This window comes from Homo sapiens, chromosome 4, assembly GCF_000001405.40.
Source record: "Homo sapiens chromosome 4, GRCh38.p14 Primary Assembly".
NCBI classification, from domain to species: Eukaryota; Metazoa; Chordata; class Mammalia; order Primates; family Hominidae; genus Homo; species Homo sapiens.
This window is the reverse complement of record NC_000004.12, coordinates 112,808,808-112,835,260: the sequence shown is the minus strand read 5'-3', so window position 1 is coordinate 112,835,260 and position 26,453 is coordinate 112,808,808. Positions and strand designations below refer to the sequence as shown.

General features: G+C 41.6%; 1 protein-coding gene and 1 pseudogene across 36 annotated transcripts in view, besides 5 other annotated features; both read right to left on the bottom strand.

Moving 5' to 3' along the window:
- ANK2 (ankyrin 2) overlaps positions 1 to 26,453 on the bottom strand; it is a 678,115-nt gene that overhangs the window by 548,476 nt on the left and 103,186 nt on the right. For 31 of the 36 annotated variants that reach the window (NM_001386147.1, NM_001386160.1, NM_001354254.2 and 28 more), the window contains exon 1: positions 16,997 to 17,156. The exons of 4 other annotated variants lie outside the window; for them this stretch is intronic. The gene's annotated coding sequence lies outside the window, so the exon portion shown is untranslated. Of the gene's footprint in view, positions 1 to 16,550; positions 16,603 to 16,996; positions 17,157 to 26,453 lie in introns of those variants that run through there. One more of the 36 variants, NM_001386161.1, reaches the window with a different exon arrangement.
- Positions 7,538 to 8,959, bottom strand: LOC100422627 (TATA-box binding protein associated factor 4b pseudogene; annotated as a pseudogene).
- Positions 16,411 to 16,934: an enhancer, noted in NCBI's record as "NANOG-H3K27ac hESC enhancer chr4:113739483-113740006 (GRCh37/hg19 assembly coordinates)". NCBI's record gives its function as "activates a minimal SCP1, AML or CMV promoter by ChIP-STARR-seq in naive H9 embryonic stem cells {active_cell/tissue: H9 hESC(naive)}" and the evidence as "EXISTENCE:reporter gene assay evidence [ECO:0000049][PMID:30033119]".
- Positions 16,935 to 17,460: an enhancer, noted in NCBI's record as "NANOG-H3K27ac hESC enhancer chr4:113738957-113739482 (GRCh37/hg19 assembly coordinates)". NCBI's record gives its function as "activates a minimal SCP1, AML or CMV promoter by ChIP-STARR-seq in naive H9 embryonic stem cells {active_cell/tissue: H9 hESC(naive)}" and the evidence as "EXISTENCE:reporter gene assay evidence [ECO:0000049][PMID:30033119]".
- Positions 17,085 to 17,134: an enhancer, noted in NCBI's record as "active region_21835". NCBI's record gives its function as "activates an Ori minimal core promoter by ATAC-STARR-seq in GM12878 lymphoblastoid cells {active_cell/tissue: GM12878}" and the evidence as "EXISTENCE:reporter gene assay evidence [ECO:0000049][PMID:35858748]".
- Positions 17,265 to 17,314: an enhancer, noted in NCBI's record as "active region_21834". NCBI's record gives its function as "activates an Ori minimal core promoter by ATAC-STARR-seq in GM12878 lymphoblastoid cells {active_cell/tissue: GM12878}" and the evidence as "EXISTENCE:reporter gene assay evidence [ECO:0000049][PMID:35858748]".
- Positions 21,281 to 21,340: a silencer, noted in NCBI's record as "silent region_15643". NCBI's record gives its function as "represses an Ori minimal core promoter by ATAC-STARR-seq in GM12878 lymphoblastoid cells {active_cell/tissue: GM12878}" and the evidence as "EXISTENCE:reporter gene assay evidence [ECO:0000049][PMID:35858748]".

Genomic DNA, 26,453 nt, shown 5'->3' with positions numbered 1-26,453 from the left:
TCTTTGTAGAACAATTCCAAGTAATAAGTATAAACAGAATGTAAGAATTTAAAAATCGTTTTGTAATCCCTAATGGAATAATGGACTCAGTCATTAATAATCACTGCATGCCAAAAACATCAAGTGAAATGTCGATGGTAGATGAGGCTGACACCACCCAAATCCTCTCCTAAATCTTAGTATCACTCAAAGTGAAACATGAGAAATATGGGTTTCCTGAGATGATACAGCAGGAAGAGCAGAGCAAGCACCCCCTATGAAGGAGTCTTGGCAAATATACTGAACCTAAATCTAATCAAGACTCAAATATAAGGGATAGAGGAACAAGTTGAACCACACCTGGAGGAAACGACCAGTCAAATCCAGAAGGTGGGGCCTTCTACAGAATAGATGAGCCAGTTTCTCAAAGAAACAAGTGTCTGTTTTTTAAAGATCTGATTTTTTAAAATATCTGATTATTAAAGATCAAGAAAGACCTAAGACATGCCATATGTGGACCTAATTTGACTCTTAAACAATCCAACTGCAAAAAGACATTTTTGAGAAAATCAGAGCAATTGGAAAATGGACTGGATATTGGATTATACTAAGAATTACTGTTAATTTTCTGAGATATGATAATGGCTTTGTAGTGTTTTTTTAAGTCCTTATAATATTAGAAAAACATACAGAAGTATTTATGGATGAAATTACATAATATCTAGGATTCATTTTTAAATACTTCCAAAAAAGGGGGAGAGCTATAGATAGAACCAGATTGGCAAATATATTTCTTATTATAGAAATTTTCTAACATATACAAGAGCAGAGAAAATGATATAATGAATCTGCATGCACTTAACTTCAACATTTTGCCAATCTTGGTTCAAGCTATTCCTTCCACGCATACTTTTTTCTTCTGATATATTTTAAAGTAAATCTCAAACGTCAGAGAACATATCATTTCAGTCATAAATATTTCAAGATGCTTCTCTAAGAACATTTTTTAAATATAACCACCAAACCACTATCTCACCTAACAAAGTTAATAATTTTTAATATCATCTAATACATAGTAAGAATGTCAAAATATTGATATATGCATTGAACTGGGTAATGGCTACCTGGGGGTCCATTATACGTTCTAGTTGTGTGTATGTCTGAACTTTTTCATAATAAAACATTTCTTTAAAGCATAAGGCAACTTTGTATGTACTGACAGAGAATAATCTTCAAGACATGTTAAATGAAAAAAGGCACAGAATAGCATATGTAGTATGTTACAATTTGTGTTTTAAAAGTTATATCTATGTATATATAGTCATACAATATACTCGGAAGGCACACATGGAATTAAAAACAGCAGTTGTCTCTGAGGAGGAGAACTGGAGCACCAGGGATAAAGAAAGACTTATTTATCCTTTTGAACCTTTTGAATTTGGGACAGTCTATTATGTATTTTAAAACATAAATCATTCCGGCCGAGTGCGGTGGCTCACGCCTGTAATCCCAGCACTTTGGAAGGCCGAGGCGGGCGGATCACGAGGTCAGGAGATCGAGACCATCCTGGCTAACATGGTGAAACCCCGTCTCTACTAAAAATACAAAAAATTAGCCAGGCGTGGTGTCGGGCGCCTGTGGTCCCAGGTACTGGGGAGGCTGAGCAAGGAGAATGGCGTGAACCCGGGAGGCGGAGCTTGCAGTGAGCAGAGATGGCGCCACTGCACTCCAGCCTGGGGGACAGAGCGAGACTCCCTCTCAAAAAAAAAAAAATACATAAATCATTCATAAATTAAAAGAAAAAATATATAGGCACCTAGGTGCATCACGTATCATCAAAACTAATCATTAAGTGTAAATGAGAGTAGTCACTGCTTAAACTACTCTAATTTTGACCTATCAGATTTATCTTGCAAAAATTGCCCTGACATCTCTAAAATCAGATATCTCCAGCCAGCTGTCTGTTCAATCCAATATTCTAGCGGTCTAGATTTTAGAGCTACTATGGTCTAAAGATTGGCATTTCAGCGTATTATTTCCTCCCCTTACCCACTACCTCATGTTTGGCTTATTCTGTTTAAAACTTTTTATAATTCTGTATTCCAAGGCTTTCTTCAGTAGAACTTCTAAGGAATTTCCTTCACTATCAGAACAACCAAGCCTCTTTCTGCTTCTCTTGTGGTTCAAACTGAAAGTAAGACCACCTTTCAAACTGTCCCATGTCCAAACGAAGCTAGTCTTCCCATCCAGCTGCTACAGATCACTTTCTGTCCTTCCAACCTACTTGTACTAGCTCCATGTCCTAACATATAGTATGCTACCTACTATCTGTCTTTAGGTGGACTTGTCTCTTTCCAACTTAAATTTCAAACAATTTAATCAGATGAGTGCTTAAACACAAGTATACAGTTGTCTCTTTACAACAATTTAGATTTAACTGAAGCAGAATATTGGAGGTTATAAAGCAAGAATATATATCCTTTTAAAATATTTTTCTAAATTTCTCCTTTTCAATCCCAAATGGAAAAATGAAGCAATAGTGCATAACAGTAGAAGACCATGGAATGTTATTCTCTGTGTGAAATTTTAGAGCAACAATTATTTTTAGTAACATCTGGGCCAAATGTTCTTACAGGACTTAGTTTATTCTGAAATTGAATATCATACAATATCAGGATGAGGCATTTACAATTCTGCAGCACTACTCTACAAATAACTTTACAATTTGAATGGCTCTGCTTTTATCCATATCAACAAAATTTTAGTAAGCACAGAGTATACAATATGAAGAAACAATAGTCTTTCCTGGGCAAAATAAAATAATTTTGTGACTGTAAAATGATGCAAAATCTATTTTTTTCTTCCAAATTTTATTTTAGGTTCAGGGGTACATATACAGGTTTGGTATATAAGTAAATTACACCCTACAGGCCCGGTACTGTGGCTCATGCCTGTAATGACAGCACTTTGGAAGGCCAAGGGAGGCGGATCACTTGAGGCCAGGATTTAGAACCCAGCCTGGTTAACAGGGTGAAACCCTGTCTCTACTAAAAATACAGAAATTAGCCTGGTGTTGGTGGCTCACGCCTGTAGTCCTAACCACTCAAGAGGCTGAGGCAGGACAATTGCTTGAACATGGGAGTCAGAGGTTGCAGTGGCCTGAGATTGTAGCACTGCGCTCCAGCCTGCGCGACATAATGAGACCATCTTGTGTCCGGAATTGGTGGGTTCTTGGTCTCGCTGACTTCAAGAATGAAGCCATGGACGCTTGCAGTGAGTGTTACAGTTCTTAAAGATGGTGCGTCTGGAGTTTTTTCCTTCAGATGTTCAGATGTGTCCAGAGTTTCTTCCTTCTGGTGGGTTTGGGGTCTCGCTGGCCTCAGGAGTGAAGCTGCAAACCTTCACAATGAGTGTTACAGTTCATAAAGGTGGCACGTCCGGAATTGTTCATTCCTCCCAGTGAGTTCGTGGTCTCGCTGGCTTCAGGAGTGAAGCTGCAGACCTTCACAGTGACTGTTACAGCTTATAAAGGTGGCGTGGACCCAAAGACTGAGCATCAGCAAGATTTATTGTGAAGAGCGAAAAAACAAAGCTTCCACAGCATGAAAGAGGACCCGAGGAGTGCTGGCTCCAGCAGCCTGCTTTTATTCCCTCATGTGACCCCACCCACATCCTGCTGATTGGTCCATTTTACAGGGCTGATTGGCCCATTTTACAGAGAGTTGATTGGTCCGTTTTGACAGGGTGCTGATTGGTGTATTTACAAACCTTGAGCTAGACACAGGGTGCTGATTGGTGTGTTTACAAACCTTGAGCTACACACAAGGTGCTGATTGGTGCATTTACAATCCTTTAGCTAGACACAAAAGTTCTCCAAGTCCCCACTAGATTAGCTAGACACAGAGCACTGATTGGTGCGTTTACAAACCTTGAGCTAGACACAGAGTGCTGATTGGTGCATTTACAATCCTTTAGCTAGGCATAAAAGTTCTCCATGTCCCCACCCGACTCAGGAGCCCAGCTTGCTTCGCCTAGTGGATCCTGCACCAGGGCCGTGGGCAGAGCTGCCTGCCAGTCCCACGCCGCGTGCCCGCACTCCTCAGCCCTTGGGCAGTCGATGGGACTGGGCGCTGCAGAGTAGGGGGCAGCACCCATTGGGGAGTCTCTGGCCACGCGGGAGCCCATGGAGGGGGTGGGGGCTCAGGCATGGTGGGCTGCAGGTCCCGAGCCCTGCCCTATGGTGAGATGGCTGAGGCCCAGGGAGAATTCAAGCGAGGCACAGGTGGGCCAGCAGTGCTGGGGGACCCGGGGCACCCTCCGCAGCTGCTGGCCCGGGTGCTAAGCCCCTCACTGCCTGGGGCTGGTGGCTCCAGCCAGCCGTTCTGAGTGCAGGGCCCACCAAGCCCGTGCCCACCTGGAACCCGTGCTGGCCTGCGAGTGCCATGCACAGCCCCGGTTCCTGCCCACGCCTCTCCCTCCACACCTCCCTGCAAGCAGAGGGAGCTGGCTTTGGCCTTGGCCAGCCCAGAGAGGGGCTCCCACAGTGCAGCTGCGGGCTGAAGGGCTCCTCAAGCGCAGCCAGAGTGGATGCCGTAGCCTGAGGAGGTGCCGAGAGCGAGCAAGGGCTGTTAGCACGTTGTCACCTCTCAGTCTCAAAAAAAAATAATAATAATAATTGCATGTTACAGGGGTTTGGTGTATAGATTATTTTGTTACCCAGGTAATAACCATAGTAACCGATAAGTACCAATCTTCACTCTCCTCCCACACTCCACCTTTAAGTAGGCCCCAGTGTCTAATGTTCCCTTCTTTATGTCCATGTGTATTTGTACTCCATGTTTAGCTTCCACCTATAAATGAGAACATCTGGTATTTTGTTTCCTGTTACTGTGTTAATTTGCTTAGGATAATGGCCTCCGGCTCCATCTATATTGCTACAAAGGACATGATCTCATTCATTTTAATGACTGTAGTATTCCATGTTGTGTATGTACCACATTTTATTTACCCAGTCCACTGTTGATGGGCTTTTAGGTTGATTCCATGTCTTTGCTGTTGTGAGTAGTGCTGCAATGAACATATGTGTGCATATGACTTTATGGTAGAACAATTTATGTTTCTTTTGTTATACACTCAGTGATGAGACGCTGTGTCAAAGGGTAGCTCTCTTTTAAGTTCTTTGAGAAATCTTCAAACTGCTTTCCATAGTGGCTGACCTAGTTTACATTCCCACCAGCAGTGGATAAGTGTTCACTTTTCTCCGCAACCTCGCCAGCATCTGTTATTTTTTGACTTTTTTTTTATTTTTTATTTTTATTTTTTTGAGACGGAGTCTTACTCTGTTATCCAGGCTAGAGTGCAGTGGCGCGATCTCCACTCACTGCAAGCTCCACCACCCGGGTTCACGCCATTCTCCCGCCTCAGCCTCCCAAGTAGCTGGGACTACAGGTACCCACCACCACGCCCAGCTAATTTTGCTTTTCTATTGTTAGTACAGACGGGGTTTCACCATGTTAGCCAGGATGGTCTCCATCTCCTGACCTTGTGATCTGCCAGCCTCAGCCTCCCAAAGTGCTGGGATTACAGGTGTGAGTCACCATGCCCAGCACTGACTTTTTAATAATAGCCCTTCTAACTAGTGTGAGATGGTATCTCATTGTGGTTTTGATTTGCATATCTCTAATGATTAGTTTTGAGAATTTTTTTCATATGCCTGTTGGCCGCCTGTGTGTCTTCTTTTGAGAAGTGTCTCTCCATGTCTTTGCCCTTCCTTTTTTTTTTTTTTTTTTTGTAGAGATGGGCTCATACTATGTTGCCCAGGCTAGTCTAACTCCTGGTCTCAAAGCAATCCTTCTGCCTTCGCCTCCCAAAGTGCTGGGATTATAGGCATGAGCCACTGCACTAGGCCTGAGGATACGATAAATATAATTGTAAATATATATGTACCCAACACTGGAACACTCAGATATAAAGGGAGAAATAGACTCTAATACAGTAATAGTTGAGGACTTAAACACTCTACTCTCAGCATTAGACAGATTATCTAGACATAAAACCAACAAACAAACATTGGATTTAAACTGCATTTTATTCATTCATTCATTCATTCACTCATTCATTTATATTTTTGAGACAGAGTCCTGCTCTGTCACCCAGGCTGGAATGCAGTGGCATCATCTCAGCTCACTGAAACCTCTGCCTCCTGGGTTCAAGCGATTCTTATGCCTCAGCTCCACAAATAGCTGGGATTACAGGCGCCACCACGCCCGGCTAATTTTTGTTTTGCTTTTAGTAGAGACAGGGTTTCACCACATTGGCCAGCCTGTTCTCAAACTCCTGGCCTCAAGTGATCCACCCGACTCCATCTCCCAAAGAGCTAGAATTACAGGTGTGAACCACCACACCCAGCCTCCTTTGCCCATTTTTAAATAGGGTTGTTTGTTTTTTGCTTTAAGTGCCTTATAGATTCCGGATATTAGACGTTTGCTGGATACATAGACTTTTGCTGGATACATAGTTTGCAAACCTCCATTCTGGAGGTTGTCTGTTTACTCTGTTAATAGTTTCCTTGGCTGTGCAAAGGTTATTTACTTTAATTAGGTCCCATTTGTCAATTTTTTGTTTTGTTGCAATTGCTTTTGGAATCTTTGTCATGACATCTTTGCCAGAGCCTGTGTCTAGAATTGTACTTCCTATGTGTTCTGCTAGGGGTTTTACAGTTTCAGATTTTATATTTAAGTCCTTAATTCAGCTGGGCGCGGTGGCTCACGCCTGTAATCCCAACACTTTGGGAGTCCGAGGCGGGTGGATCACGAGGTCAGGAATTCAACACCAGCCTGGCCAAGATGGTGAAACCCCCCTCTTTACTAAAAATACAAAAATTAGCTGGACGTGGTGGGGGGTACTTTTAATTCCAGCTACGAGGGAGGCTGAGGCAGAGAATTGCTTGAACCCAGGAGGCGGAGGTTGCAGTGAGCCAAGATTATACCACTGCACTCCAGCCTGGGCGACAGAGCAAGACTCTGTCTCAAAAAAAAAAAAAAAAAAAAGTCCGTAATTCATCTTGAGTTGATTTTTGTATATGGTGAAAGAAAGGAGTCATGTTTCAATCTTCTGCATATGGCTAGCCAGTTATCCCAGCAGTGTTTATTGAATAGGGAATCCTTTCCCCAATGCTTATTTTTGTAGGCTTTGTTGAAGATCAGATGGTTGTAGGTTTGCGACTTTATTTCTGTGTTCTCTAACCTGTTCTATTCGTCTCTGTGTCTGTCTTTGTACCAGTACTATGCTGTTTTGGTTATTGCAGCCTGTGGTATAGTTTGAAGATCAGCAGTGTAATGCCTCCAGCTTTGTTCTTTTTGCTTAGGATTGCTTTGTTTATTCGGCCTCTTTTTTTATTCCTTATGAATTTTAGAATAGCTTTTTCTAGTTCTGTAAAAAATATTATTGTCACTTAGATAGGAATAGTGTTGAATCTGTAAATTGATTTGGGCAGTATGGCCATTTTAACAATATTGATTCTTCCTATCCACGAGCATGAAATGTTTTTCCATTTGTTTGCTCTTTCATATTGGTGATTATGTTCCAGGAATCGAAATTTCAGAACAGTGCAACAATGCTCTTTGTGTCTTCCTTGGCAGTAAATTGCAAGGATCTGGATGGAGAGTAGAGTGGTCCCTTCAGAAGGGCCAGGTATAGAGCTCGAGAATATTTCATCTCCTCTTCCTGTTCCATACAAAATATCAAGTCCCTGAGGCAGATTCTTGTGATTCTTAGATGAAGCAACTGTTTGGTGACTGTCAGGCTGGATGTCCCAGAAGCAAGAAGGTTGTCTTTTAAGCCCTCACTTCCAAGTTCTAGTGGTCTCTTCTTCCTTGGTCCAATAGCTGCAAGAGCTGTGAGATTAGCATCTCTATGCTGTATCTGTTCAAGTTCCAGTTGCTGTAACTCATTGGCTTTCTGCTTTAATCTCAGCTGTTCTGGATCTTCTTTATTACAATGACTCTTGGCTGCCTTAAGTAACATTTCTCTTTCTTCTAAATCCTTTCTCTGCTTCTCCAATTGATCCAGCTTTTCAAGAAATTTGAGGTGTGACCTGGTATCACTACACAGGATGTAATTTTCACTTGCCTTGTAAGTAGTCATTCAATGCTGAGCAATTGCAGTCAGTTTTTCTAGAAGGCTTCATAATTTTTCCTGTGTTGCATGGGTGATCAAGTTCACAGCAACAGTTAAGTTCTGTAATGTCATGCTTTTTACCAATGTCTAAAATTCTCTTTTGTAGAACTCCAATAAAAAGAAATGGTTCATCTTTACATGACTGAATGAGTGTGCCAACCAATTCAGAGTTTGTTGCTAAGACACAGGCATTTTCTTCATTAAGGTTGACCCCTGCCATAGAAGTCACATCATTGATGTCATCTTCATCCCTGAAGCATATTGTTCCATTCTCTTTTACTTTATTTTTTTGAGTAGAAGATGCTTGAAGCAACAGAATTTTATTTCCAGGCAGAGTAATTTGCTTTAGAACAGAAGATGGAAGAAACTGACTGGTAGGTATTATGGTGTTCACTGGCATTGTCTTCTATCCAGATTTCTGAATGGTCAATGCTGAGGAATGTGTAAGTGTGGTCACCCGTTTTTCACTGCCTCCTGAAGCCTGCTGAACTACTAGTTGCTTGACTTTAACTGCCTGTGGAATCCCAGCTGGTTGTGAAAGGACAGGGCCCGGCTGGGCAAGTTTGATTTGCATTGGAGTGCCAATAACAGGCTTGTCAGATGTGGTCCCAGTAGATGTAACAAAAGGTTTCACAGATGGAAGACAAATAGCTGCACCTGAAGATTCTTCAAAAGTTACTGCTGGTAGGGAAAGTGTTACTTCTGTTCCAGGGACAACTGGCTTTTCAGGTTGCAGTGAGACCATTGTCACTGTGTTTGGTACAGATGTCACAAGTGGTTTTCGAAGTCTGAAGCAAAACAGACTACACAACTCTATAGAAATTTATAGTCAAAATAGTAACAACAGGTTATGAGATAGGCCTTAGACTTAGAAAGTCTGGACTGACTGGATTCTCAAATGACAAGTCACACATTTGGGGCAAGTTCATCTTACCATCTGTGAAATGTCCCTAAATAAACGAAGTATTAGTACAGGGTCTTGCATATGGAAAGTGCTCAGCATTTAGCAGTGATGGGATTCAGGACCTGCTACCCCAAAATATGGCACTTTGGCATTTGAGGAAGCAGTAGAAGCAGAAAAGTTACTCGTTGACCTTCTCCCCTGAAGTAAGCCAAAACACAATTCTTTGACCTTCCTGTGAAATAAGTAATTAAGGCTCTCATGGAGAGGTGCCCACCCTATATATGGAGGAAAGGAATGTTCTTATCTCCAAAGGCACAGGGACACAGAGACAAATATGAATACACAGGTCTAGCTAAGTCCCCCAGTTTATTACCATTAGATCACACCTCCTTTGTCCAATCATACTTTTCCACAACTGTCTACTCTTCATCAAACCTAAGCACAAAAATGTACAAATTTACCTGTTTCTTTGGGTCTTCATTTCTGAAGGCTCTTATGTCATGTAAATATATTAATTAAGTGAATTTGGTTTATGATTTTCTCTGGTTAATCTGTCTTTTGTTATAGGTGCCTCAGCCATGAACTTAGCAATGGATGAGGAAAAGAAATCTTTCCTCCCCTACAACAGTTGCTTTTGTAGTATTGGTAGTATTATTGGTAGTATTATCATTACTTGTGATACTTCCTCAAAAACCAGTTTAGTTGGATGAAAAGGACATAAACCAAATCAGATAGGGTTAAGGGATAAGGGATCTAACTATGTCAACAAAATCTGATAATACTGGGTCTTGAATGATGAAATTTTCTTTCCAACTGAGGACAGTGGATAGTCTTTTTCTTTCTTTTTTTAAATTTTTTTTTTATTATCCTTTATGTTCTAGGGTACATGTGCACAACATGCAGGTTTGTTACATATGTATACATGTGCCATGTTGGTGTGCTGCACCCATTAACTTATTATTTACATTAGGTATATCTCCTAATGCTATCCCTCCTCCCTCTCCCCACCCCATGACAGGCCTGGTATGTGATGTTCCCCACCCTGTGTCCAGGTGTTCTCATTGTTCAATTCCCACCTATGAGTGAGAATATGTGATGTTTGGTTTTCTGTCCTTGCAATAGTTTGCTCAGACTGTTGGTTTCCATCTTGATCCATGTACCTACAAAGGACATGAACTCATCATTTTTTATGGCTGCATAATATTCCATGGTGTATATGTGCCACATTTTCTTAAGACAGTGGATAGTATTTTTCTAAATCAATATATACAGAACTGGTTTTTTTACCAAATCATCTTAAAATCTGCATTATAATTACATTTTCTAGTGTGGTTGCCATGCAATAGAATTCCATGGCTTCTTTTCCATGCTCAAAACAAAGAATAAAAATATGCTAAAAGCAGGGTGCAGTGGCTCACACCTATAATCCCAGCACTTTGAGAGGCCGAGGTGGGTAGATCACCTGGTCAGGAATTTGAGACCAGCCTGGCCAGCATGGTGAAACCCCATCTCTACTAAAAATACAAAAATTAGCCAGGTGTGGTGGCGCATGTCTGTAGTCCCAGCTACCTGGGAGGCGAGGCAGGAGAATGGCTTGAACCAGGGAGGCGGAGGTTGCAGTGAGCTGAGATCGCACCACTGCACTCCAGCCTGGGTGACAGAGCAAGACTCCGTCTAAAAAAAAAAAAAAATGCTAAAGGTGGGGTGCAATGGCTCACATCTGTAATCCCAGCACTTTGGAAAGCTAAGGCAGGAGGATTGCTTGAAGCCAGGAGTTCAAGACCAGCCTGGGCAACAGAACAACACACTGTCTCCAGAAAAATAAAACTTAAAAAATTAACTGGTCATGGTTGTAGTCCTGTCACTCTCCTGTAGTCTTGTAATCTTAGTTACCTGGGAGGCTGAGGCTGGAAGATCGCTTGAAGCCAAGAGTTCGAGACTGCAGTAAGCTATGATCACACCACCGCCCTCCAGCCTGGGTGACAGAACAAGACCCTGTCTCCCTCTAGATAGACGGATAGATAGATAGATAGATAGATAGATAGATAGATAGATAGATAGATGCTGAAGACCTACAACACATCCAAGGTCCAAAGACAATAAATGAAAACAATTTTTACAAGGAAACTCTCCATCTAAAGTTTAGGGTATAATTAGGTTTAAAAGATTGTCCTTAAAAAAAAATCGGCATTAATCAAAACAGATCGAAGTATAGAAGCCTAAATCCATGATCAGAAAAATCCATCTATAACTTCCATGGACCCCAAACAGTAATCTCAGATTTCACATTGAATCTGGCTAAGTCACTAGCACAGTAAACAGTAGCATCTGGCTCTCATGTGGGATGGTATATACAATGGGCCAATCCATAACTTTAGTGTACTTTGGACATTTAGATGGATGGGCTGAGAGCCCAGTGTGTTATAATAACCCTGAAAAACTTTTGGCTCTGGCTGTGAACACATTAGCATTAACTTAAATTTGTTGCTTTGTTTACAACAAGAGATATTTGCTTGTGCTTTCTGCCTAAATGGAATCGGTTAAAGGCACCCAAGACCTCAAAGAGTGAAATTTACAATTAGTACAGCAGCTATTCACTTTACTGAACTTTGCATTTTTTTTTTTTTTGCATTTCCTCTTAGTTACATCTTTTGGAAATAAATGATATCTTTATTTGGAGTTTCTGTCTGTTCATACTAGGACCATTAACAACTAATATCCCCTGACTAATTTTTTCTTTCCTCCATAACCTGAAGCTTAAAATAAGTAACCATTTAGAGGGTTCCTTGAAGATGTCACCATTTAGAAATGTCACACATGCAGTCATTTGTTTCTGAGCTAGACAGTGTTGGCTGTTTAGAACAGTGTCCCAATTATTCTTTTTGAAACCACTCAAAGCCACCAGAACTAATTTCTCCCAATATATCACTACAGTTTAATGTCTACAATGAAGAGATACCCTCACTCAACCAGTAGAAACTGACTATTGCATATCCAGGATATAATCAGAGGACCTCTGTATTGAATTTGAGATTTCCAAAAATTGTAATTAAACAACACCCAATCTAATTTTGTGTTTATTGCTTTTACAAATAGCATCAACACAGGTGAATTATCTATGACATTTATTCACATGTGCGTTATTTTAAGCAAATAACGCGGGAGTCTTACCCTTACCAAAATAAGACTGAATAATTAACAGATGGGCATTCTAAAAACATTATGGAACAGCATAATGTTGGATTACCTTTTAAATCTCATTATACTCATAAGCAAGAATTGCAATGTTCTATATATTTGTTCTATCAATGAACAAGTTTTTTTTTTTAAATCTCTTGTGGGTCTAGCATTGATCTCAACAGGGAAAAAATTAATCTGAAATTTTATTTTGAATTAAACATCTTTTAAATCTTTCTTTCTTTGTTTTGTTTTTATTATTTCAGGTTTTTTTTTTTGAGACAGGGTTACACTCTGTCACCCAGGCTGGAGTGCAGGTTGCGATCTTTGCTCACTGCAACCTCCGCCTCCTGGTTTGAAGCCATCCTCCTACCTCACCCCTCCTAGTAGCTGGGGCCACAGGCGCATGCCACCACCCCCAGCTAATTTTTGTAATTTTAGTAGAGACAAGGTTTTGTCATGTTGGTCAAGCTGGTCTCGAACTCCTGACCTCAAGTGATCTGCCCACCTCGGCCTCCCAAAGTGCTGGAATTTACAGGCATGAGCTACTATGCCCAGCCTGAAATGGTTTTTTGTTGTTGTTGTTTTTCTTTTTTTTTTTTTTTGAGACGGAATCTCGCTCTGTCGCCCAGGCTGGAGTGCAGTGGCACGATCTTGGCTCACTGCAACCTCTGCCTCCCAGGTTCAAGAGATTCTCCTGCCTCAGTCTCCTGAGTAACTGGGACTACAGGCACATGCCACCACGCCCGGCTAATTTTTGTTTTTTTTTTTTTTTTTTTTTTTTAGTAGAGACAGGGTTTCACGGTGTTAGCCAGGATGGTCTCAATCTCCTGACCTCGTGATCCTCTCGCCTTGGCTTCCCAAAGTGCTGAGATTACAGACGTAAGCCACCGTGCCCGGCCCCTTAAATGGTTTTTAAATATGTCACCATGAATAGGTTTGTATAAAGAAAGAACATTAGGCGCAGTGGCTCATGCCTGTAATCCCAGCTCTTTGGGAGGCTGAGGCGGGTGGATCGCTTGAGCCCAGGAGTTCAAGACCAGCCTGGGCAACAAGGTGAAACCCTGTGTCTACAAAAAATACAAAAGTTAGCTGGGCGTGGTGGCACACACCTGTGGTCCCAGCTATTTGGTGGGGCTGAGATAGGAGGATGGCTTGAGCCCAGGATGCGGAGGTGGCATTAAGCCAAGATTGCACGAATGTACTCCAGCCTGGGTGACAGACAGACCCTTTCTCAAAAAAAAAAAAAAATCTATGACTCAGAAAACCACCCAAATAGAATGAAGCTTCTAAATGTTCTCGTGGTATGTGATTTGCCATAACTGAACAATAATCCCCCTTATTAATTAGGGTAGAAGACAGCATAGTGGTGCTTGCCTATAATCCCAGTTACTCAAGAGGCTGAGGTGAGAGGATCACTTGAGCCCAAGAGTTCAAGGTTACATGAGCTGTGATCACACCACTGCACTCCAGCCTGGGTGACAGACTGAGACCCAGTCTCAAAAAAAAAATAAAAAAAAAAATTAGGGTAGTCTACATTCTCAGAAAGCCAAGATTAGAAAACTATAACAATCAGGTATTTGAGATCTCATCACATGACCCACAAAGAATATAAATATGCTACTTTCCTAAGAAAACAGAACTTAATTTTCTCTGTAAAGATTTCCCAATCTGAACTAGGTGTGATGGTGCATGCCTGTAATCCCAGCTACTAGGGAAGCTAACACAGTAGGATCATTTGAGCCCAGGAGTTCCAGACCAGCCCTGACAACACAGCAAGACTCCATCTCTACAAAAAACATTTAAGGGGCCGGGCGGGGTGGCTCATGCCTGTAATCCCAGCACTTTGGGAGACCGAGGCGGGCGGATCACCTGAGGTCAGGAGTTCAAGACCAGCCTGACCAACATGGAGAAACCCCGTCTCTACTAAAAATACAAAAAAAATTAGCCAGGCATGGTAGCGCATGCCTGTAATCTCAGCTACTCGGGAGGCTGAGGCAGGAGAATCGCTTGAACCCGGGAAGCGGAGGTTGCGGTGAGCCAAGATCGCGCCATTGCACTCCAGCCTGGGCAACAAGAGTGAAACTCGGTCTCAAAAAAATAAATAAATAAATAAAAATTATCCCGGTATAGCAGCATGCACCTGTAGTCCCAGTCACTCAGGAGTCTAAGGCTGAAGGATTGTTTGAACCCGAGTTTAAGGTTACATGAGCTATGATCATGCCCCTGCACTCCAGCCTGGGCAACAGAGAGAGACCCTATCTCGAAAAACAGAAAAACAAAGGCAAAGCTAGGCACAGTGGCTCATGCCTGTAATCCCAGCTACTTGGGAGGCTAAGGTAGGAGGATTACTTGAGCCCAGGAATTGAGTCCAGCTTGGACAACATAGCAAGAACCTGTCTCTAATTTAAAAACACAAAATTGACTTTCCAATCTATTGCAAGACATTCTTCGGGAAAGACGGTGAAATTACAGTCATTTTACTATGCTAATAATTACACAGCATTTTAAATAAAAAAGAACCAGAAATTGAAAAAAACACCTAATTTTTAAAGAAAATGTTCTCTCCTTAGGTTGCATGATTGCAGAAGGAGCACTGGGCAGTCAGGCAATCTGAGTTCTAGTCCCAACTCTGTCACTCATCAGATGTGTAACTCTGACCAGCTTTACCCTCTGTGAAATATGGCTGAACTATCAGTCCTAATAGGGTCTGGTCCAGTTCTAAGACTGTAACTACAGGTGCCTTCCCTGAAAAGCAGAAATCTGAAGGAGTGTGGATAGCCCTTCTGCATTAAACATAGCTAGCCTAATGTGATGATAAAGACAGGAAGAGGATACAGGACATTAAACATAGTTGTGTGAGTGAGATGGAAAAATGGATAATTTTCTTCCATTTCTTTTCACATTACTGTGTTAAAGAAAAGGAATTCTAAAACCCCCATAAATGGGTATCTTCACCCTGAGAAGCAGGAAATGTGTGTCTGCAGAGAAATCAGGCCTCTTCAGTTTTGTGACCGAGGAATCCATGTGCCCAAGGATGAGCATCGTTTTATCACACTCCCCTTCAGAGAGTTTTAGGCATGTGGCCAAAAAAGGGGGTGTGGTCTAGGCAGAGACGGAGGGCCAGATCAGGAAGACTACCTCTGAATTCCTCACACCGTGCTCGTCTACAAGAAATGGCTAACAAAATTACAAGCAGTGATGCAGACCCTTTCCAAGATGAATATAGCTTCACTCAACAATATGGAAGGAGGAGAAAGTAGGGTGGGGTGGGAGGATCTTCCATTTCTCTATGTCTTCATTTTATATGGCTTGTACCTGTAACATACAGGGTTCAAAAGATGAATTAGAACTGTCTCTGTGCTAGTGTTTATGCAGTTCAGTGGAATAGAATGGGAGGGGAATCATCCATGTTCACAACACTGGGTGGGGCATGCTCTCTTCTGTTGTTTGTTGTTCTGTGACTTAAACCATATACTGCAAAAGGCTAAAAAAAAAGGACAAAACTCATCTAAGCATATTTTCTTTGCATTCATACCATCATCTTTCTCACCCAAAAGTTTCTTCAATGCCTAAGTGTTTCTGGAATCAGTGTTTGGCCCCAAAGTCTCTGGTTTGTGCAGAGATTCATAGAAAAGACTAGGTTCTCTTCCTTTAAAAAATAAAGATTTTCCAATGCTTAAAGACATAGCCTAATTATTTGCCTATTATCCCTCAAGGGGACACCATACACCTTGACCTAGAACTCTATCAAGTGTTCACAGAAAAGTGCCAGGGCAAATAAACAATCTGTTCTTCTAAATTCCCCTTTATATCTCCTTCCAACCACACACATTTATTTTCAGTCTCTAAAGCAAACTTAATGTTATATGCTCAGGAGGAAGAGAAAGATGTTATTGAATTTATTCCTTTGCTCTCCAAAAAGGCCACACCTAAGACATCGTCGAGGTGAGAATCATTCCTGATGCATGAGTGTGGGAATGTGGTGCTTTTTAGGAATAAAAAATAAAAACCAAGCCAAAGAACAAACAAACAAACAAAAAAACACTGCTCAGAAATCTGTATCTGTTACATTTCTCTCTACTCCTTAATTGGGCTTTCGATGCAGGAAAGACAATTCACTAGCTGGGAAAGGGAGAAAGAACTCCATCATTCTTCTACTGCCAGCACCTGTTCTGCCAGCTGACACTATTTAATATAAATTTTGACCATAAAAAAAGGCAACATACTAATAGCACTGCTGTTTACCAAAAACTAATTAAATCTCTTTACTGCTGGTTCACCCCCGCTTTCTCTCACACCACCTACTCACCCAATGCAGAGAAGGGGTGGCAACCACTTTCTCCGGCACAGACACAGCCAGTGTCTTAACACAAGCAGTATTCTGACCAAAAGAGCCACCACCCTCTTGCCCCTCTCCCTGCTTATCATACAGGGAACACCAAGTCCACTCTGGGGCTGGGAATCTCAAATAAATCAATTCACTTTAACCAGATCTTAAAAATCTGCCCTACGATTACAGAAAGAGAAAATGCAAATCAGAAAAACACATCACATGGAGAACAAACCAAAACCAGGGCTGGGGAACATTTGCACATCAGCGCTGCCTTTGAACTCCAGAATGGCATGGAAAGCGCCGCTGCCCAGCCCAGACCCAAGGAGGGGGTTTTACAAAGGCTTCCAGCACCCCCTATCAACACAAACACTTCCTCCCCGCTTCCAAAATGCTCTGAATAAAGACCTTCTTTAAGCACTTACTGGGAGCGGCAGCTTCTCTCTGCAATGTGCCTGTGAGTCACGCAGCAGGAGGGGCCCCGGAGCAGGGCAATTCGGAGAGCCCCCAGCTTCCCTGCAAGCTGATGTCTATGAGACAGCAGCCCAGGAACCGACTTTCCCATTACAGCCTCAGACTGTAATCCATGTGCTTTCGGCGGGCCAGTCCCAGCTGCCCACAGAGCACCACATGATCTGCTCTGACATCAGATCAGCCAGACGTGACAGCCCATCCGCCAGCCTCTTCCACACTCTTGGGTTGCATCATTTGAGTGCCTTTGGTTTGCATTTAAGCAGGTGGTACAGAGTAAGGAACTGTTGTTTTCTCACAAAATATTTTTTTTCTGGTTTCTTCTGTTCTAAAAGAAGGGAAAAATAAGCAAGAAAAGCACTTGAATTTGTTGCAGCCTAAATGTATCAGATATATGGGAAGTAACTGGAGTTCCACGCCTAGTTCAGAGAAGCTGAGGAATAAGCTACTGCCAAGATGCCAATGCCGTGGGAGTGATTTCATCTATAAATCACTACCACCACCATACCCCACCGCCTTTCAGTAGATCATCTTTTATATAAGAGTTTATATATATCTATATATACATATATACATATATATATGTTTAAGTCATAAAATATTGGTAGGTGGTGTGTGTGTGTGTTTTAAGCTAGTCACCACTGAGTTTAGTTCATGGGCAATCTCAGTGAGGTAACCATGAGACTCAGTGCAATACACAATAATTCTATTTTGAGAGGATTCACATATAGTCCAACAGAAATAGATGTACAGACCTGGACGGATAGGCAGATAAGCAGACAGGAAGTCAGAACCATCCATTCAGGCTTACATTCATTCATTCAATAATCATTTATTGATCACCTACTATATACCCAGTCCAAAAACAGATTATCAAAATGGTGGAGGGGTTGGATATTTGTTACAGAGCTTCTAATTCTACTTCTGTGATAAGACAAGGAAGTAAGAGCCTTATCAAGGATCCTTATAAAATGTTCTGTGTCTAATACTGAATCTAAAGGCTGGTAAAAAAAATCAGGTTTTATCTTAATTTCATTAGGATAAATGGTAACACATGTAATCTTTAAGGTAAGAATAATCAAAATCAATAAGACTTTATGAAGCAAAATCATAGCCCGCTTAGACAGCTGTGACCAGAAATGATGTAATTCTAAAATTACAAAAAATATAATGCTCCCCTAGCAGAGAGGAGAATTCACTGTTTTTTTTGGACACCGTCTTGCTCTGTCCCCCAGGCTGAAGTGCAGTGGCACAATCTTGGCTCACTGCAACTTCCCCCTCCCGGGTTCAAGTGATTCTCCTGCCTCAGCCTCCCAAGTAGCTGGGATTACAGGCATGTGCCACCACACCTGGCCAATTTTTGTATTTTTAGTACAGATAGGGTTTCACCATGTTGTCCAGGCTGGTCTCGAACTGCTGACTTCAGGTGATCCACCTGCCTCGGCTTCCCAAAGTGCTGGGATTACAGGCGTGAGCCACTGTGCCCGGCCAAGACACTTCTTAAGTAGAAAAATAAATATTTAATTTTAGTTTTCCTTAGTTTAATAATTAGCTGTTTCCTATAAAATAATCACAAAATATGCAAACCCTTGGTTTTCATTATTTTGTCTTTGTCCCTTATATTTAAAGTGAATTGTGCCATTTTCTTATATGTTAATTAAGGCTATAATATCATTATTTGATATTGTAATCAATATAATAGTATTTGCATATTTTTATGGAAATAATTCAATCTAATAATTATAAATTACTAATATCATAATAAATTTGTCATTTAATATATAATATTTAACTCATCTATTTGCTTTGTACCAAGTGTGTGATATTTTCCCCTGAGTTGACCAGGATGCTTGTGACTGTGGAATTCAATATGAGATTCCAAGAGCACTTGTTTCCATTTGTTCTCTATTGGAAATAAGCTATATAAAGAGTAAAACTGTTCAAGTCTACTACTGTTTCTACTGAAACAGAACATCTCTGACACCAGATATGTGGGTTTTTCACATCAAGAAATTTCCCAATTTTCTGCAGACACCAAGTGCCCTACAATTTAATTCAATTCTGACACTGACTACCCAGAGTTAACGCAGACACCACAGGTTAAGGGCTCAGTTCCACAAGACTGCCCCCAACTTCAAATAAAAATCACAAGTAGTGGGTACCCAGGTTACCCACACTTTTGTCCAGCTTGGCTACAAATTGGGGGTTCCCACGACTGACTCCGTCCTTAGGTTTGATAATTTGTTATAATAGCTCACAGAACTCAGGGAAACACTTTACTTATTATTACCAGTTTGTTATAAAGAATATTATAAAGTACACAAATGAACAGCCAGATGAAAAGGCATGTAAGGTGAGGTCTCCAAGTGTCCAGAGTGCAGGAGCTTCTGTCCCCGTGGTGTTTGATGTGGTCCCAACATGTGGATACATTCACCAACTTGGAAGCTCTCTGAATCCTATTGTTAATGGTTTCTTTTTATGGAGGTCCCATTACAGAGGTATGGTTGATTAAATCTTTGGCCATTGGAGACTGACTCAATTTTCAGCCCCCCTCCCCTCTATGGAGGTGTGGTGGATCTGAAAGTTTAAATCCTCTAATCACATGGTTGGTTTCTCTGGCAAAGAGTTCCCATCCTGAAGCTATCTAGGGCAGGCCCCTGCCCCCACCAAGAGTCACCTCATTAGCATAAACTCAGGTTTGGTTGAAAGGGCCTTATGAATAGCAAATTATGCTAATCTCTCCTCATTATCTAGGAAATTACCAAGGTTTTATGAGCTCTGCGTCAGAAACTAGGGATGAATATTAATATATGTGTTTGTTTATATATCACAATATCACAGAGTTAATTCTTTTACACTTATTTAATTGAACACCTATTATGTTCAAGTCACTGAAAATGATACCAAAGTGCATGATATTCGATGGGTTTATAATCTTGTTAGGGATATACTGTTTCCACACAAATATCTGAAATATAGTTGCTAAATCAAATACATAGAAAGTAATGCAGTTAAAGTAGACAAAGAAAGTGAATTCTCGCCAGTGGTGGTGGCTTGCACCTGTAATCTCAGCACTTTGGGAGGCCGAGGTGGGCGGATCATTTGAGGTCAGGAGATCAAGACCAGCCTGGCCAGCCAACATGGTGAAACCCCATCTCTACTAAAAATAGTAGACTTTGAGACTCCATCATAAAAAAAAAAAAAAAGTGTCTTTTTGTATTTAGTTTCTTGGAATTTTGCTGATCTCTCTAGCTAAAATTAACTGGCAATTTAAAAATAGCACTGTTCAGGTACCTACCAACACCCCCCATACAGTGATCTTTTGCCACTATTTCTTATAATATGAGCTAAGTGAAGTGCGAAATGTGGCCTCACTGACAAATTGTTCCTTCCAAAATCTATAGAGTTAACAAAGGTTTAATATTCAAAAGATTGTCACTACTCCTAAACTCTAGCACAGGCTACCATCATCACTTGTCTCCTGGACTACAGCAACAGCTTCCAGTTGTCCTCTATAGAGCAAGCAGAATGTTCTCTCTCTTACTTAAAACTCTCTCAGCCTGAGCAACATGGCGAAACCCCATCCCTAAAAAAAATTTAAAAATTAGCCTGGAGTGGTGGTACACACCTGTAGTCCCAGCTACTCAGGAGGCTGAGGTGGGAGGATCCCCTGAGCCCAGGGAGGTTGAGGCTGCAATGAGCCACAATCATGCCACTGCACTCCAGACTGGGTAACAGAGTAATACCTTGTCTCAAAAAAACAAACAAACAAACAAACAAAAAAACAAAAAAACGCTCTCCAGTCATTTTCCATCTCATTTAACTCCTCATCATGGCCTCTAACACCCTTTAATGAAACTATATAGATGCTTCTTAAGTAGCTTCCTTCTCCAGTAAATAACATACTGAATATTTCTCTCGTTGGCTGAGTTATTGTTCATTAGGTAATTAACACTTGTTTTCTGAAATTCATTTATTTCCTCAGGAAAGACTATAAGAAAATGAACTATTGAATTAAAGGATGCGATCTTATTTCAAAGTAATAGTGTTTAGGCAAGATATATAACTGCCTGCCCAAAGACTACAGCTCCCAAGCTCCCTTGCAACTCAGTGTGGCCTTCTGAGCAGAATTTCTCCTTTCTTGCCTCAAAGAACATTGCTTGCCTTAAACTTCTTTTGTTTCCTTTATGCAAGCTAAAACACAGATTTGCCTGTGACCTCACTTCAACCACACAGCTTTAACGGGGAATGGCAGAGCAAATGAACAGAAGAAAACTGGGCCACTAAATTACCACAGAAAGCAGAGTTGACCTTCTAACCTGGACGACTCATTCATACTGCATTCTTGTCAGCATTGAGGCCTATTTCTTTTAAGGGAAATCTGGCTGGGTGCAGTGGCTCATGCCTGTAATCCTAACACTTTGGGTGGCCAAGATGGGTAGACAGCTTGAGCTCAGGAGTTTGAGACCAGCCTAGGCAACATGGCAAGACCCTGTCTCTATGAAAAATAGAAAAATTAGCTGGGCATGGTGGTGCACACCTGTGGTCCCAGCTACTCAGGATGCTGAGGCAGGAGAATGGGTTGAGCCTGGGAGGTCGAGGCTGCAGTGAGCCATGATCACGCCACTGCACTCCAGCCTTGGTGGCAGAGTGAGACCCTGTCTCAATAAATAAATAAATAAATAAATATAATATAATTTGGTAAAGGAAAAATAGTATAGAAAGTTGAAAATGATTCAATGATTACTATTCATCGGCATTCTGTCTTTTAAGAATTGCTTGTCCACATTGATTTTTATTTTCACTGAATTTTTAATATGTTTCTTTATTCTGTTGAGCTTCATTGTTTGCCTTTAAATTCTGCTTTTGGGAAACATGTTGAAGTGTTTTATTGTCATCATTTGTAATTTTTTCCATTGTTTTTGTTCCATTGAAAGTTTCCATAATGACCAGATTTTTTTTTTGATTTTTTTTTTTTTTTTAGACAGAGTCTCACTCTGTTGCCCAGGCTGGAGTGCAGTGGTGCAGTCTTGGCTCACCACAACCTCTACCTCCCGGGTTCAAGCGATTCTCCTGCCTTAGCCTCCCAAGTAGCTGGGACTACAGGTGCATGCCACCATGCCCAGCTAATTTTTTTATTTTTAGTAGAGACATGGTTTCACTATGTTGGCCAGGCTGGTCTCGAACTCCTGACCTTGTGATCCACCCACATCAGGCTCCCAAAGTGCTGAGATTACAGGTATGAGCCACCGCGCCCAGCCGATGACCAGATTTTAAACTCTAAATACCATTCCTCACTAAAAAGAACCAGGGCTCTTTGGGGAAAAGGCTGATTTTAAATCTGAGGCAGAGAATGTATAAGATGAGCTTAGCACATTGTCTTATAGCAGAAAGCAAGGAAATTACTGAAGAGAAGTAGGGTCGTGTCAAAGGACAGGAATCAACGTGGAGAGGCCCCCAAAAGCCAACTTCACCAAAAGCATCTTTTCTAGTTACTATGGCTATGTAAAAAGTCATGCCAAACTTAGCTTGAAACATTTATTTTTCTCACAAATCTGTAGTCTGGGAAGGGTTCAGAGGGTTAGCTGGTTTCTACTCCACTTAGCATCATTTGAGCACCTCAAAAGCTGGAGAATGAAATCCTCTGAGGGTTCATTCACTCACATGTCTGGTGCCTGAACTGGAACATTGAGGAATGGAATAATTAGGTCTCCTTAATCATCTCTGCGTGCCTCTTATGTTGCTTTTCCTTATGGTCTTTTAACATGGTGGCTTCAGGGTGGTTGGATTTCACTAAAAGCATGTGTCCCAAGAGAGTGCCAGGCAGAAGCAATGGAGATGTGTCAATATCACATTATAGGAAGACCATGTGAGACTGAATATATTGGTGTATCCTGCTTTGGTAAATACAATCTATCACAGCATCATAAAGAATACTATAATTGAGTGACACACTTGAATATATAAAAGTCCTAATGATACTCAGCCCAGAATGAAAAGACATATTTGCCCCTCATTGAGGTAACTATTATACCAATTCCTTACACGAAAATTAGTCGAGAGTTAAGTATGAATTCTTTCTTTTCCAAATGGAACTCTGTTTTGGCGTAACACATAGCTCTTTTTTTTTTTTTTTTTTTTTTTGAGACGGAGTCTTGCTCCGTTGCCCAGGCTGGGGTGCAGTGGCGGGATCGTGGCTCACTGCAACCTCCGCCTCCCGGGTTCACGCCATTCTCCTGCCTCAGCCTCCTGAGTAGCTGGGACTACAGGCGCCCGCCACTACACCTGGCTAATTTTTTGTATTTTTAGTAGAGACGGGGTTTCACCGTGTTAGCCAGGATGGTCTCAATCTCCTGACCTCGTGATCGCCCGTCTCGGCCTCCCAAAGTGCTGGGATTACAGGCGTGAGCCACCGCGCCCGGCCGGAGTAACACATAGCTCTAATTAATAAGGCGAACTCTATTAGAAGAATCTTAGTTAATGAAAGCAAAAACACTAACAATTGGAAAAATCACCATTTTGCAACTTGTAATGGAGTAACTGGTTCAGACAACAGTCAGCAATGGGTGCCAACAGCATTGAGTATAAGGTTGATAAAGGCACTGGATACTAATCTGCTGCTGAGTTCTTAGCACACAGAATATTTACTTGTCTCAAGGGGGGGAAATCGTAACTTTATAATAGAGAGATCTAGTAATTTCCCCATTTACCATTAATCTAAAGATCGATCTTAATATCATAAAAAGTAACACAACTAAGTATTGTACAACTCTTGATATGATAGGATATAATGTTCACAGCATCACCCATGAAACACACTTGACAAAAATGTTTTACCTGACATCAGTAACAACTTTAGATCAAAATTTCCAGTCTCCAGGAAATACAGCAGAGAGTTACCTAAAATTTAAATGAAACCAGAAGGAAACAATCATATAAATCCAGAAGGTGGAATTCTACCGGAAAACTGATCCAGTCTCGTGGCCGGGCGCGGTGGCTCACGCCTGTAATCCCAGCACTTTGGGAGGCCGAGGCAGGTGGATTACGAGGTCAGGAAATCTAGACCATCCTGGCTAACACGGTGAAACCCCATCGCTACTAAAAATACAAAAAAAAATTAGCGGGCATGGTGGCAGGCCCCTGTAGTTCCAGCTACTCGGGAGGCTGAGGCAGGAGAATGGCGTGAACCCAGGAGGCGGAGCTTGCAGTGGGCCGAGATCGCGCCACTGCCCTCCAGCCTGGGCGACAGAGCAAGACTCATTCCCAGTCTCAAAAAAAAAAAAAAAAAGAAAGAAAGAAAAAGAAAATTGATCCAGTCTCTTCAGCAAGAAAATGTAACAAAACAACAACAACAAAAAAGCGGGAAGGGGCTGTGCGTGGTGACTCACGCCTATAATCCCAGCACTTTGGGAAGCCGAGGGGGTGGATCACCTGAGGTCAGGAGTTCAAGACCAGCCTGGCCAACATGGTGAAACCTCGTCTCTACTAAAAATAAAAAAATTAGCCGAGCGAGGTGGTGGGTGCCTGTAATCCCAGCTACTCAGGAGGCTGAGGCAGGAGAATTGCTTAAACCTGGGAGGCAGAGGTTGCGGTGAGCTGAGATTGCACCATTGCACTCCAGCCTGGGTGACAAAGTGAGACGCCATCTAAAAAATAAAATAAAATAAAATAAGCAAGAAGGAAACAGAACTTTTCTCAACTAACAGAGAAATATGAGCCATAGCTCACCACATATTAAGAATCATGCAGGTCATTGACTGGATCCTGATTTGAGCAACTTGGCTGGAAAACACACTGGGGCCAACAGAGGAAATCTGGATGTATACTGGGTATCAGAAGATAGCAGAGAATTATTTAATTTTGTAGCTGTGCTCATGATAAAAGTATTGTGCTCAGTTAAGAAAAAAATCTTTATTTGGCCAGGCACAGTGGTTCACACCTATAATCCTAGCACTTTGGGAGGCCAAGGCAGGTGGATCACCTGAGGTCAGGAGTTCGAGATCAGCCTGGCCAACATGGTGAAACCCCATTGCTACAAAAAAAAAAAAAAAAAAAAAAATATATATATATATATATATATATATATATATATACACAAAAAATTAAAATATCTTTATTTTAGAGATACTAAAGAACATAATGGTAAAGCAACATTATAATTTACCTCCAAATGCTTTAAAAAAATAAAGTAAATATGACAACATGTTAGCAATTGGCAAACCTAGATAAGAAATATACAGGTATTTGTTATACTCTCTATTTATTTTAATATTTGAAATGTTGTACAGTAAAATGTAATAAAACAGAACATTTCTCCCCAAATGCAGGGATTTTCTAAGTACTCAATTCTAATTTTTCTAATTTTTGTGTTTTTGGTTTATTTTTTGAAATGGGCTCTCACTCTCACCCAGGCTGGAGTGCAGTTGCGCGATCACAGCTCACTGCAGCCTTGACTTTCCCAGGCTCAGGTGATCCTCCCACCTCAGTTGTTGTATTTTTAGTAGAGATGGGGTTTCACCATATTGCCCAGACTGGTCTCGAACTCCTGGGCTCATGCTATCTGTCCGCCGCGGCCTCCTAAAGTGCTAGGATTACAGGTGTGATCCACTGTGCCTGGCCTGGTTTTATTTATTTATTTTTATTGATTTATTTTTTTTTTAGACGGAGTCTTGCTCTGTCGCCCAGGCTGGAGTGCAGTGGCGAGATCTCGGCTCACTGCAACCTCCGCCTCCCAGGTTCACGCCATTCTCCTGCCTCAGCCTCCGGAGTAGCTGGGACTACAGGCACCTGCCACCATGCCCGGCTAATTTTTTGTATATTTAGTAGAGACGGGGTTTCACCGTGTTAGCCAGAATGGTCTCGATCTCCTGACCTCGTGATCCATCCGTCTCGGCCTCCCAAAGTGCTGGGATTACAGGCGTGAGCCACCGCGCCCGGCCCTTATTTATTTATTTCTAACCATTTAACATTTAATTTAAACTACCAGGAAGTTTTTTTGAAGTGTTTTGTCTTTCCCCAGTTACCAAATGAATTGTCCTAGAAAATTTATTAAATAGTTTGGGCCGGGTGCAGTGGCTCACGCCTGTAATCCTAGCACTTTGGGAGGCTGAGGTGGGTGGATTACCTGAGTTCAAGAGTTCAAGACCAGCCTGGCAAATGTGGTGAAATGCCGTCTCTACTAAAAATAAAAAAATTAGCCAGGTGTGGTGGCACACACCTGTAATCCCAGCTACTCCGGAGGCTGATGCAGGAGAATCACTTGAATCCAGGGGGACAGAGGTTGCAGCGAGCCGAGATCGCACCACTTTACTCCAGTCTGGGCAACAGAGAAAGAATTTGTCTCAATAAATAAATAAATAAATAGTCTGTATGTCCCCAGTTGTTATACCCATTTGTTTTCTATTAAGTTAT